This window comes from Homo sapiens, chromosome 12 (genome assembly GCF_000001405.40).
Source record: "Homo sapiens chromosome 12, GRCh38.p14 Primary Assembly".
Classification (NCBI taxonomy): domain Eukaryota; kingdom Metazoa; phylum Chordata; class Mammalia; order Primates; family Hominidae; genus Homo; species Homo sapiens.
The window spans coordinates 32211501-32225975 of record NC_000012.12 but is presented as its reverse complement, the minus strand read 5'-3'; the positions used below and the strand labels follow the sequence as shown (position 1 = coordinate 32225975).

General features: G+C 39.3%; 1 protein-coding gene across 34 annotated transcripts in view; it reads right to left on the bottom strand.

Annotated features, from left to right (window-relative positions):
- BICD1 (BICD cargo adaptor 1) overlaps nucleotides 1-14475 on the bottom strand; it is a 276787-nt gene that overhangs the window by 157658 nt on the left and 104654 nt on the right. For 30 of the 34 annotated variants that reach the window (NR_148725.2, NM_001413168.1, NM_001354186.2 and 27 more), the window contains exon 2: nucleotides 9517-9729. Coding sequence is in view for 33 of the 34 variants with exons in the window: in NM_001413168.1 (NP_001400097.1) it covers nucleotides 9517-9729 (213 nt within the window). In the remaining variant the exon portion in view is untranslated. Of the gene's footprint in view, nucleotides 1-1889; nucleotides 2782-3005; nucleotides 8402-9516; nucleotides 9730-14475 lie in introns of those variants that run through there. The other 4 variants (NM_001413178.1, NM_001413179.1, NM_001413176.1 and 1 more) reach the window with 4 other exon arrangements.

The following is a 14475-nucleotide window of genomic DNA, read 5'->3' as shown; positions in this document are numbered from 1 at the left end:
TGAGATATCACTACACACCTATTAGAGTTGCTAAAATTTTAAAAATACTGTCAAGGCCAGGCGTGGTGGCTCACGCCTGAAATCTCAGCATTTTGGGAGGCCGAGGTGGGTGGATCACCTGAGGCCAGGAGTTTGAGACCAGCCTGGTCAACATGGCGAAACCTCGTCTCTACTAAAAATACAAAAAATTAGCCGGGTGTGGTTGTAGGTGCCTGTAATCCCAGCTACTCGGGAGGCTAAGGCAGGAAAATCACTTGAACCCGGAAGGTGGAGGTTGCAGTGAGCTGAGATCATGCCATTGAACTCCAGCCTGGACAAGAGCAAAACTCCGTCTAAAAAAAAAAAAAAAAAAAACAGAAAAAAAGAACTGTCAAATACCAAGGGCTGGAAAGAATAGGGGCAACAGGAACTTTTACACATTGCTAGTGGGAAAGCAAAATGGTACAGCTGCTCTGGAAAACTTAACCATACACTTACCATATGACCTAGTATCCCCACTCTCTTAAGTATTTACTCTAGAAAAATGAAAACTTCACGAAAACGTAAGTGTACATGAATGCTTATAGAAGCTCTAGTTATAATCACCAAAATCTGAAAATAACTCATGTTCTTCAGTAGGTGAACTGATTAATGCAACCACAATGTATCTATACAGTGGAATAATACTCAGCAATAAAAAGGAACAAACTATTGACACATGTAACAACTTATATGAATCTCCAAGGCATCATGCTGAAGGACCCAATCTCAAAAGGTTACATACTGTTTTATTCCACTTATATGACATTCCTGAAAAGAAAAAAATAAAACAAAACTATAGTAATAGAGAATAGATCATTGGTTATCAGAGGCTGAGGTGGGAGTGGCTCTGACTACAAAGAGTAGCACTGACCAAGGGAGATTTCTGAAGTGGTGAAACTGGTCTACCTCCTGATAGTGGCTGTGGCTATATGAATCTATTTACAAGTTAAAATTCATGGAACTGGCCAGGCGCAGTGACTCACACTTGTAACCCCAACACTTTAGTGAGTGGATCACTTGAGGTCAGGAGTTCGAGATCAGCCTGGCCAACATAGTGAAACCCCGTCTCTATTAAAAATACAAAATTTAGCCAAGTGTAGTGGTGCACACCTGTAATCCTAGCTACTCAGGAGGCTGAGGCAGGAGAATCGCTTGAATCTGGGAGGTGGATGTTGCAGTGAGCCGAGATTGCAACACTGCACTCCAGCCTGGGTGACAGAGCAAGACTCCATCTCAATAAAATAAAATCGATACAACTGTATACACACACACAAAAATTCTATGAGCCTGAATTGCAAACTAATCCTTACAAACAAACCCACTTTGTTAATCTGATATTCCCCAAAAGCATAATCAAATCACAATTATTCAAAAATGAATTGTCTATATTTTGTTAAGACTTTGCTTCCAAATTCCCAATGGCATTAATAGACATATTTGTTTACTGTAGCTCAGCAAGTATTAGAAAGAACTTTTCAACCAAAAGAAATAGAGCTCTCTCCTGTGGAATCGCATATGCGCTGCAAGTTTGTTGAGAGAATTAAATGCAATAATGAACGTAGTAAAGTGCTAAGCTTCATACCTGGCATATGGTGAGCTCAATAAATGTTAGCTATGATATTATTATCAGTTATGTAAATCAGTTAAAAACAACAACAGTTCTTCACTGTTTGGTGCACTGCATCATTCCAGAGAGGTATGAGGTCCATTCCCAACAAGTATGGAGAGGAGAAGAGAGACAGGAACAGGCCAGGAAACAGAAAACTTCCCAGCAAGAGCCAAGCCATGCCTTCACAGAAGTGTCCGCTTCACTCAGCTATGTGTAACCACAGCTCCCAATGACCAATTACTCAGAAGGAAACATCAGAGACTGTAAGAAACACTTTGGTTTTTACTGGATACATTAAATGTGCTCACTTTGTGTGTCTGTGTCACATTTTGGTAATTCTTGCAATATTTCAAGCTTTTTCATTATTATTTTATCTGTTATATTGACATGAACCACATCCATATAAGACAGCAAACTTAACCCATAAACATGTGTGTTCTGACTACTCCACTGACCAGCCATTCCCCATCTCTTTCTCCTTGGGCCTTCCTATTCCCTGACATAAGACAATATTGAAATTAGGCCAATTAGTAACCCCACAGTGGCCTCAAAGTGTCCAAGTGAAAGAATCGTACTTTCAAGGAAAGGAAGAAATGATTAAGCATATGCCAAATTAGCCAAGTTAAGTTAGCTAAGTTAGCCAAATTGTGAATGCAAAGGAAAAGTTCTTGAAGAAAATTAAAAGTGCTACTCCATTGACACATGAATGATAAGAAAGCGAAACAGTCTCATTTCTGACATGAAGAAAGGTCTGGATAGAAGATCAAACCAGCCAAAGCCTAATCCAGAGCAAGGGCTCTCTTTGATTCTTTTTTTTTTTTTTTTTTTTGAGACAAAGTCTCTTTCTGTTACTCAGGCTCCAGTGCAGTGGCGCGATCTTGGCTCACTGCAACACCTGCCTCTCACGTTCAAGCGATTCTCCGCCTCAGCCTCCCGAGTAGCTGGGACTACGGGCATTCGCCACCATGCCCAGCTAATTTTTGTATTTTTAGTAGAGACGGGGTTTCACCATGTTGGCCAGCCTGGTCTCGAACTCTTGACCTCAGATGGTCCACTTGCCTTGGCCTCCCAAAGTGCTGGAATTACAGGCGTGAGCTACCACACCCGGATGCCTCTCTTCAATTCTATGAAGGCTGAGAGAGGTGAGAATGCTGCAAAAGAAAAGTTTGAAACCAGCAGAGGTTAGTTTATGAGGTCGAAGGAAAGAAGCCATCTCCATAACATAAAGTGCAAGGTGAAGTAGCAAGTGCTGATGTCTTTAACTGAATGCAGCAAGTGATCCAGCAGATCTAGCTAAGATCATTGATAAAGGTAAACTAAACTAAAACATAGATTTTCAACATAGACAAAATAACCTTATAGAAGAAACCTTGCATTAGAATTTATAAAAACACACAAATTTATTGATCACAGTTCTGGAGGCTGAAGATCTAAGATTAAGGTGCTGGCAGGTTCAGTGTCTGGTGAGAGCTGCTCTCTGCGTCCAAGATGGCACCTTGTTGCTGTGTCCTCCGGAGAGGATGAATGCCTTGTCCTCATACGCTGGAAAGGACAAAAGGGCCAAAAGGCCTAGCTAGCTCCCTCCAGCCCTCATATAAACTCGCTAATCTCATTCACCTCCTAAGGGCCCGACTTCTTAATATTATCACATTGATGATTAAGTTTCAGTGCATGAATTTAAAAGGGGCACATTCAGACCATAGCAGCTATCGTATTAAAACTTCATATACTTTTCTAGAAATTTCATTGCTTGAGGCAGGGTTCGGAAGAGGGAAACCTATGCTCTTGGCAGCTACGGTGACATGGCAAAGAATGGCACATCAGAGCCAGTGTTCCTGAGTTCAGATCATGGCCTGTCACTTGGTACCCATGTGCTCTGGACAAATGATCTGACCTCTCTTTGATCCACGTGCCCCATCAGTAAAATAGGGGTATAATATAATAGGAACTGCCTCAGTAGGGTTGTTAGAAAGATTCAGCAGTTAAGGCACGTAAGGTATTTAGAACAGTGTCTGGCACTCAATAAATGTTGTTATTTTCACTTTAAATTATAGGCTTAATCTCTACTAAGGTCGATAATTCATTTGATAACTCCAATCTTCTGCATTCCACCTGAAGGGGCCTATCTTATGTGACATCTTTTTATCCCATATATACCAATTCTGGTTAGGAATGCTGCATAATTGCTTTGTATACTTTGTAAATATTGCAGTTAATTCTAACATATCTTATATTTGAGACATTAGCTAGTAATTGGGAGAATTAAGTAGTATTAAGTTTCATTATCCTATTTTATGATTTCATTAATGTGGATTTTAGTTTAGTTTAGTATAAATAAGTATAAAAGTAAATATTACCCAAATTTTAGGCTATCTTCTAGTATATTATACCTACAGGTTGAAGATAGAAAAAATGAAATTCAAACTTGTTTACTAAATATCTATTTAAATCCTATAGCAATCTGCTTTCTTTATGCTCTTACCAAAAATAATGCTGGGTCAAGAGAACTCAGAGATTTCTTCACTCTGCCTATTATTGGCCCTGTAGGATTAACTCCTAATTAGGTTAAGATTAACTATTAATTTGGTTCTCCAATTTGGGTGATCAGTTTTTGTTTATACTCCCTGTATTTTATAAAATTATTATTATTATCATTATTATTTTTTGAGACAGAGTCTCGCTCTGTCGCCAGGCTGGAGTACAGTGGCGCAATCTTGGCTCACTGCAACCTCTGCCTCCCGGGTTCAAGCAATTCTCTGCCTCAAACTCCCAAGCATCTAGGGACAGGCACCCACCACCACACCCAGCTAAATTTTTTGTATTTTTAGTAGAGACGGGATTTCACCATCTTGGCCAGGCTGATCTTGAACTCACGACCTTGTGATCCAGCCGCCTCGGCCTCCCAAAGGGCTGGGATTACAGGCATGAGCCACCATGCCCGGCCTATAAAATTATTTTTATTTATTTTTATTTATTTATTTATTTATTTTTTTATTTTTTGTGATACAGATAACGTTTATTAATTTGTTTTGCCACATGTCAGGCACTGTTGGAAGCATTTTACATTTTTTTTTAAATTTTTTAATTTTTAATTTTATTATTATTATACTTAAAGTTTTAGGGCACATGTGCACAATGTGCAGGTTAGTTACATATGTATACATGTGCCATGCTGGTGTGCTGCACCCATTAACTCGTCATTTAGCATTAGGTGTATCTCCTAAAGATATCCCTCCCCCTCCCCCCACCCCACAACAGTCCCCAGAGTGTGATGTTCCCCTTCCTGTGTCCATGTGTTCTCATTGTTCAATTCCCACCTATGAGTGAGAATATGCGGTGTTTGGTTTTTTGTTCTTGCAATAGTTTACGGAGAATGATGATTTCCAATTTCATCCATGTCCCTACAAAGGACATGAACTCATCATTTTTTATGGCTGCATAGTATTCCATGGTGTATATGTGCCACATTTTCTTAATCCAGTCTATCATTGTTGGACATTTGGGTTGGTTCCAAGTCTTTGCTATTGTGAGTAATGCCGCAATAAACATACGTGTGCATGTGTCTTTATAGCAGCATGATTTATAATCCTTTGGGTATATACCCAGTAATGGGATGGCTGGGTCAAATGGTATTTCTAGTTCTAGATCCCTGAGGAATCGCCACACTGACTTCCACAAGGGTTGAACTAGTTTACAGTCCCACCAACAGTGTAAAAGTGTTCCTATTTCTCCACATCCTCTCCAGCACCTGTTGTTTCCTGACTTTTTAATGATTGCCATTCTAATTGGTGTGAGATGGTATCTCATTGTGGTTTTGATTTGCATTTCTCTGATGGCCAGTGATGGTGAGCATTTTTTCATGTGTTTTTTGGCTGCATAAATGTCTTCTTCTGAGAAGTGTCTGTTCATGTCCTTCGCCCACTTTTTGACGGGGTTGTTGGTTTTTTTCTTGTAAATTTGTTTGAGTTCATTGCAGATTCTGGATATCAGCCCTTTGTCAGATGAGTAGGTTGCGAAAATTTTCTCCCATTTTGTAGATTGCCTGTTCACTCTGATGGTAGTTTCTTTTGCTGTGCAGAAGCTCTTTAGTTTAATTAGATCCCATTTGTCAATTTTGTCTTTTGTTGCCATTGCTTTTGGTGTTTTATACATGAAGTCCTTGCCCATGCCTATGTCCTGAATGGTAATGGCTAGGTTTTCTTCTAGGGTTTTTATGGTTTTAGGTCTAACGTTTAAGTCTTTAATCCATCTTGAATTAGTTTTTGTATAAGGTGTAAGGAAGGGATCCAGTTTCAGCTTTCTACATATGGCTAGCCAGTTTTCCCAGCACCATTTATTAAATAGGGAATCCTTTACCCATTGCTTGTTTTTCTCAGGTTTGTCAAAGATCAGATAGTTGTAGATATGTGGCATTATTTCTAAGGGCTCTGTTCTGTTCCATTGATCTATATCTCTGTTTTGGTACCAGTACCATGCTGTTTTGGTTACTGTAGCCTTGTAGTATAGTATATAAAATTATTTAAAGCAGTTTACCATTAAAAACATATATACAATAAGGCTAATCAAAACGTTTAAAAGTGAGAATTAGATGAAAAAAATCTAGGTTAGTTTTTTTATACTTAAGCATAGCCGCAGAGCTTCTTAACAGTCAAGGCAGAAATAAAAATGTGTAATTCTACTGCCTGATTCATATCACAAGAGAAAGAATTTTTGAGGTGATAAATTCAGAGATATTTATCTCATGTTTCTTTACCCTAAGAATATAGATCTACATAATGAGTCATATCGTCAATGATATTTTTGGAGTATGCAGAACATTATTAATGATAATTGCTTATGTTTATGTATGTACTCTATATCAATATAATCTTAACATAAATTTTACAAATATCATGAATTTAATACTAAAACTTTCAGCAGAGCTGACTAGAATATTGATTTTCTAATACCTAATTCAGCAATTTTTCCATTTTCCACCATACTATCCTGTAACTACTATTTATGGAAGAGAATTTGACATTGTAATCACACACACATGGGTAAATCTTTCACGATGCACCCAACATATATGCACGCACACACACCTTTGCCAGGACCAACAATCCTACTAAAACAGGAAATGAGTCCTTTCAGTAAAGAAAAATTATCCCATTAATTAAGTTCTTAGAGACACAGCATCTGTCAAACTGATCATTTACTATATTTTGGGTTGGTTATCCTTGTATATTTCTCATGGTCCATCATGTCATAACTGTTCTAAGTTACATGATCTCTCTTCCAATCACTGTACATCAGTTAATGCTTATAGTACAAAAAATAAAACTGAGCCTAAAAGGAAATCAAATCTGAGATTTCAACTTAATACCAACCATTAAAAGTGTGTATCAATACACCAAAAAATAGAATTTATTCCTATTCTCCTTTTATGTTAGCTCTAAATGTTAATAATAATTCTCTTAGGTACAGCAAAATAAAATGTATCTGCTGGATTAAAAACAAAAACAAAAACTCAGGGTTATAGTAATATCACCAGCTCTCACTCATCAGAAAGAACATTAACAAATACATTATTGGCACACATAGAAGACAAAGAAACACAAGATCTTTTTTTTCTTTTAGTTACCTGACAAATCTGAATAAACACATTCATAGGCTAAAGTGCCTCAAGCTGTTTTAGATCAAAAATACCTAAATGTGGATATAACAAGTTATTCTCTTACTGCAAATCTACTATGTAAAATGCATAAAAATTGAAGAATCACAACCAATTGATTTATTCAGGAGATCATGGTGCTTATAGCAATGTCCCAATTGTGAGCCTTCCTCAGCTTTGGGCAGGCCAAAAAATCTAAATTAGTGGTTCTTAATATGTGGTTTCCAGAGCAGCAGCCCCCACATCACCTGGGAACTTGTTAGAAATGCAAATTATTGGGTCCTACCTCGATCTACTGAATCAGAATCTCTGCGAGGGGGCCCCGTGTTCATGGTCTGATGAGTTCTCCAGGTGATTCAGATGCTCCTTCAAGTTTGAGAACTGATCTGAATGAAAGGCCCCTCAAATTTTTTTTCTTTTGCTGCCTCCATTCATTCCTAACTTGTAACTTCATGCTTAATTAATTAACTTCTGCCATGCATCATAAATCTACTCATTGGAACTGCCTTCAAGCGTGGCTGTGTAAGTGAGGATGCTCCATTAATCATCACCACGTTGACTCACACAGAAAAGCATCTGTGGATTCCCTGCCCCATCCTCAACCTTGGCTGTTCTTGGCTCAGCTGCAGCTGCTACACACAATGGGGATTGCAGCTTTCAGAGGATCCATCCAACTGGCCATCAAGAATACTCGACTCATTGGTCACATTCTTCTCCATAAACCACCTGCATGCGTGTGCACACGGTCCTCACGTTGCCCATGCCACATCCTCTCTGCCAACTTGCACATGACCCTGCTGCTCACGGCTGCTGAGGTTGCTCCCTGCAAATGTTTGGTGACTTCCTTAATCCAGAATGGTGGGCTTTGGCTCCACATGACCCTCTGTCCACTTCTGCAATGGATGCTGGATTGTGCCACTGCACTCCAGATTGGGCAATAGAGTGACACCCTGTCTCAGAAAGAAGGAACCAGAGAGTAGCTCTGTTTTTAACAGTTGTTCACGTTGGAGGGAAATGAGGAGGTCCTGGTATCCTGAAAACTGTCTCATCTTCTTCTTAGTACTCAACACTAACTTCCACTTCATTAGATCCTTTCTCTGTCTTCACAAGTCATATTGCTATATTTGGGCATATCCAAAGATAACGAGATAAGTAAACCTTATCTCATAAGTGACCTTGCTGTCAGTATTCATTTAGTTCATTGTAATATGGACATGTGTAAACGTAAATTATCTAGAAAATTCCAATAAATTCTGGACAACTTATATCTTATAATAGTGAAGCCCTATTTGTAATATGTCACTTATTTCAAATGTGGATTGCTTGTCTTATACTTTACAATATTGAAGAATATTTTCATCCTACATATTTCTATCACTAAAATGCTCAACTAGTGAGCCCACTTGGTTGTGGACCTGTCAATGATCACTGCATTGGTGTAGGAGTTAGAGGACGTCTGCGTCTCTTCTATAGCTTTCATATCAAAATACGGAGTGAATGATTGAATATAGCTTCCAAAAATGTTCTTACAGGGGTTTGATGGATGAAGCTACTTTTGGCTATCTCTGTTTCCAACATCACCCCTCCACTAAAGGATGACTCTGCCAGTTTGAAAATGATATGGCAGGTGATGCTGCCTTGGAAAAGCTAACAAGGAATACTGAGTTTGGTGGATGCTCAACACTCACAGAGCAAGAGAGACTCCCTGACCTAATTCATACCAGCCATAATTTGCTGCCTTCTCTATAACCAGAAAAATCCTTTGGGGATCTGCATCACCAGACTCAAAGACTTCTCAGGACACTCGCCTAGGCTGTCATTCCCTATGAGCAGTGTCCTGAGCCAACACCACTGTCAGCTGGAAATCAGGCAGATACAGAGCATTACAGCCAACCGTTCTTCTCCACATTGTATTAAACCAGCTAATGCAGGGAGGAAGTGCTAAGGTCACTGTATTTTTAAAATACCTTTGCAGAAATAGTAAGGCCAATTCCGAAGTCCGCAATACATACAAAACTTAATTTTCAAGAAACAATAAAAGAGAGAAAAGCTCATCTCAGAACAAGCTAGCTATCATTTCACTAAAAAAGAAAAGTTGCTAGCTCAGTATTAGTAGTTTCGTGCTTAATACAGCTCCTCTGATTAAAACAAAAGTGTTATTCCTCTCTGCTATGGAGAGAACTTTCTTATTTCTCCCTCTCACAAATCTCTCATAGGGAATTTGTTTATTTACCTCCTTCAGATCCTGCACGACTGCGGTGAGCCTCTCGTTTTCTGCCTGTACATTAGTGACCACAGCCCGGCTCTGTTTCAGCTCGTTCTGCATCTCCAAGATCTTCCCCAGATAGTAAGCCTCCTTCGATGCTGACTCCTGCAGAAGCGTTTCCTCCCGAGTCTCTCCATCTTCAGCAACCTTCCGGTGGATGGAGAAGGACTGCCCAAATGCCTGCAGAGTATATGGGAAGAAAAAGAGTACACAATGAAATGCATCATAACCCTCTTTTAAGACTTGGGAAAATGTTTTCTTCTGCTTATATGTGTAAGAAAAGCTACCCTGCAAGACCCCCGAAATATAACAGTCTAGCAGCTCTCACTGATGCTTGAAATAATTCAATTCGCTTAATAAGGAAAAATAAAATTTTAAAATATCTTGTGAAAAAAAGATGTAATGCATTAAAGAAAACTTGAAAAACATTGTTACTTGCTTTATGTTCTCCTTTTTTTTTTTTTTTTTTTTTTGAGACGGAGTCTCGCTCTGTCGCCCAGGCTGGAGGGCAGTGGTGCAATCTCGGATCACTGCAAGCTCCGCCTCCCGGGTTCACGCCATTCTCCTGCCTCAGCCTCCCGAGTAGCTGGGACTACAGGTGCCCACCAACACGCCCGGCTAATTTTTTTTTTTGTATTTTTAGTAGAGACGGGGTTTCACCTTGTTAGCCAGGATGGTTTCGATCCCCTGACCTTGTGATCCGCCCGTCTCAGCCTCCCAAAGTTCTGGGATTACAGGCATAAGCCACCGCGCCTGGCATATGTTCTCATTTTTTTAGACAACTCTTATCAAGAAATAGTTCAGTGTTAATAAGCCCATCAAAATTCATGTCACCTTCATTTTTTAAAAAATCTCACAAATATTTTACAAAAAAGAAAACAATCATTTAGTGTGCTTTCTAATACATTGGCATTAAGGACAGATCAATTATAAACAGTATCCTTAAGAGTTAAAATTACCAAACAGCATTTAAATTGCCCAGTACCACACAAAAAAAGACACTGAATATCATCTCTGTATAAGAAAACATATATGTGCCTGTTTATTTGTGCAAAAAGAAATACAGAAGAAAAAAGTAGAAACTAAACTGGTCACTTACGGGGTAGATGGGAAGAATGGGAGACTGAAACGTGACAGAAGGGATGAGGTGGAATGACACTTTTCTGAAATGCCTTTTCACATGGTTCTTTTTTCTTTTTGAGATGGAGTCTAGCTTGCCACCCAGGATAGAATGCAGTGGTATGATCTCGGCTCACTGCAACCTCTGCCTCCTGGGTTCAAGCAATTCTCCTACTTCAGCCTCCCATGTAGCTGGGATTACAGACGCCCATCACCATGCCCAGCTAATTTTTGTCCTTTTAGTAGAGAAGGGGTTTCACCTTGTTGGCCAGGCTGGTCTCAAACTCCTGACCTCAAGTGATTCAACCACCTTGGCCTCCCAGAGTGCTGGGATTACAGGCATGAGCCACCACGACCGGCCCCTTTTCACAGAGTTCTGACTCTGAGAACAATAATCATGTTTCACATCCCCCTAATAAAGAATAATTAAAACCAACCTCTCGGTGTTGGGGGAACCCAAAATGGAACACGAACAGTAACAAAAGAACCTAGCTGTATTACAAGTAAAAAACAACAGCCACCATGAAAGAGGTAAGAAAGAAAATATCTAACCTAATTTTGGAAACCAGTACTTTTATTATATACCTTAAGACTAAAGACAAAAAGGACTGCACCTGGATGCTATATAGTCTTGTTGGTAAACTTGTTTCTCATAGAGATTATGGAAATCACAGTTCTGAAACTTCTTTACATATATACTAGGGTTGAGCAAATAAGTAAATATATTGTAGATAATGAATGCCAGGTTTCTAACTGTTGGAGAAAAAGCCACGAGTAAGGAAAGAGATATCTAAAAGGAAACTAGTGGTATTGAATTGTAAGTGGAAGTATTAATAAGTAGATAAACTTATTGTTTTTAATAGGTAGATAGTCATAGGCATATAGATATGGAGAGAGAGGGAGAGAGAAACATGTGTCTGGATATACAGACACATTATTTCCTAGCACTGTAAGCTGAGAGGGCCTAGAAGCAATGATATACCAGTAGCAATGAGCATATCCAGCACCCAGATTTTGTTTCTAAATACCAGTCTACAGTAAAAAGAACTAGGGTCTTTGGAGAAGTTACTGATTCTAGGGCTGGAGCAAAATAAGCCAGACACATCTTGTGATGCCAGAGTTACAACATGCATTTAAAAGATAATGAGGATATGTCAAAAGGAGACAGGAGCCTGTCTGAAGGGGCTTCCAATGGCCAAATCTGAGATATTTTGAGAAAAAAATTATAGTAACTAATTATATATCCACATTAACATAATAAATCAATAAATAGCAGAAGAAAGAACAGCTCTTCCTTACAGTAGAATTACAATAATATAGAAGGAATGATGGAAATAAAATATATCAGCATTTAGCAAACACTAATAACTGTTACAGGTAAGAATCATCAATAGTATCTAAAATTAATGGGCAAAAGTATGATGAGAAACAGGATGTTTGCAGAGTCTTAAAGCATCTCCCCACAAAGTACTTATTAATTCTAATGGGAAGAACAGTAACTTTGCAGTGGAGAAACCTGGTAGACACCACATTATCTAAGTGACCAAAACTTAGATCAACAGCAATGAGACATACTGACATCATGTACCCTCTCATATAATACACTGGGGGCCGGGTGCGGTGGCTCACATCTGTAATCCCAGCTTTTTGGGAGACAGAGGTGGGAGACAGATCATCTGAGGTCAGGAGTTCAAGACCAGCCTGGCCAACATGGCAAAACCCTGTCTGTACTAAAAATACAAAAATTAGCCAGGCGTGGTGGTGTGTGCCTGTGGTCCCAGCTACACGGGAGGCTGAGGCAGGAGAATCACTTGAACCCGAGAGACGGAGGTTGCAGTGAGCTGAGATTGTGCCACTGCACTCCAGGCAGGGCAACAGATGGAGACCCCTTCTCCAAAACAAAAACAAAAACAACAACAACAAAAAACATTGGGAAGGGCACAACATCACTTCAGTGGTATTGTTGTCAAAAATGCATAAGCTAATTCTTATCCTAAGAAAACATCAGACAAACCCAAACTGGGGACATTGTACAAAATCACTGGTCGGGACTCTTCAAAAGTATTAAGTCGTGAAAATTATAGAAAGACTCCTCCGGACTAGATGAGACTAACAAGACGTGACAAGTAAGTGTTGTATGGGATTCTAGATTGGATCCTGGACTTTAAAAAGGACACTAGTAGGACAATCGGCAAACTGAAATAAGTTATTTAGGTTAGTTAGTGATGCTATTGTATCAACGTCAATTTCTGTTTCCTTCACTGTACTATGATTATGTAAGATGGTAACATCTGGGGAAGCTGTATCAAGGGTACATGAAAATCAGTGTAGTATTTTGGGGCAACTTTTTTCTAAGTCTGAAGTTATCAGAAAGTTTTGTTATTTCAAACAAAAAGTTAAAAAATAAATAAATGTAGTCTCTGCCTTAAAAGAGTTGATAGATTTGGTGAAACACTGGCACACAGAGTTATATAAGAACATAAGGACATGAACACCAAGGAGATACTATATTCAATGAGAAGTACGGTGGCTTTCTGGCATAACTTGTGATTTTATTACATTTTGAAATTTAAAATGTCACGGTAGGCTGGACACGGTGGCTCACGCCTGTAATCCCAGCACTTTGGGAGGCTGAGGTGGTGGATCACTTGAGGTCAGGCGTTCGAAACCAGTCTGGCCAACGTGGCAAAACCCCGTCTCTGTTAAAATACAAAGATTAGCTGGGCGTGCTTGTGCATGCCTGTAATCCCAGCTACTTGGGTGGCTGAGGCAGGAGAATCACTTGAATCTGGGAGATGGAGGTTGCAGTGAGCCGAGATCATGCCACTGCACTCCAGCCTGGGCAACAAAGCAAGACTCTGTCTCAAAAATAAAATAAAATAAAATGTCACAGCATATTGCTTCTGGGCTACGCTATCATCTATGAAAAGATTAGGCTGGAATTAACCTGTGAAACTTAGTTTCACATTTGTTATAAACCTTAAGGCAGAAAAGATTATGTGTTAATCATTGTAAGAAACAACTTATAAAAAACAAGCTGGTACTCCTCCCTAAATTACACTCACAGAAACAGAAATTAAAACAAAAACAAAAACAAAAAAACACTGAAAACCCATGTCTTAGTTAAACTGCCTTAGAATCTTGACACGGATCAAAATCAAAAGATGGTCCCTAAGCATCAGTGAGACAGAAATATTCCAGTATCGATGTCCATCTGTACATACAGAGTAAAATATTCCTGGTGCCTGGCTTGTTCAGTCTCTCGACAGAAATTCTTATTTGAGTAGTCAGATTTCCAGATGTGGTGATAAGCACAGGTACTCATGAATAGATGAGAAATTATCTTTGCAGATGATGTTGACTTTGCTCTTGCATCAGTAATGATCAGATTCTGTGAGGTCAATTCTGAATTCAGTATCCATTAAAAGGCCTCTGGAGGGGAAGGTTCTGACAGCCTCTCTCCCTCTCCCCACAGTGGCCTGCTGAGTCTTCAACAGATCATCATCCTGCAAAGGATCCCTCACTATATAGTCAAGTATTAGTACAATTTAAAATTAGCATGAACTGTGTGTCAAGAACCCCAGCTGGCTTTTTTTTTTTTTTCACAACTGTTTCCCCATTTCTATGTACAGGAAACTGGAAATGTCTGTCACAGGGCCATTTTCTTCACTCTGCCTGAGTAAAAGCAATAATTTGGCCATTCTGTGGCTCTCGTATTTTTCGCAGCACACAGGCAATGCTCTCTTGGCAGCTAAAACAACCCCTAAAGTCTTAAGAGCAAGTGAATTTATTGTTCCACCCTTGATT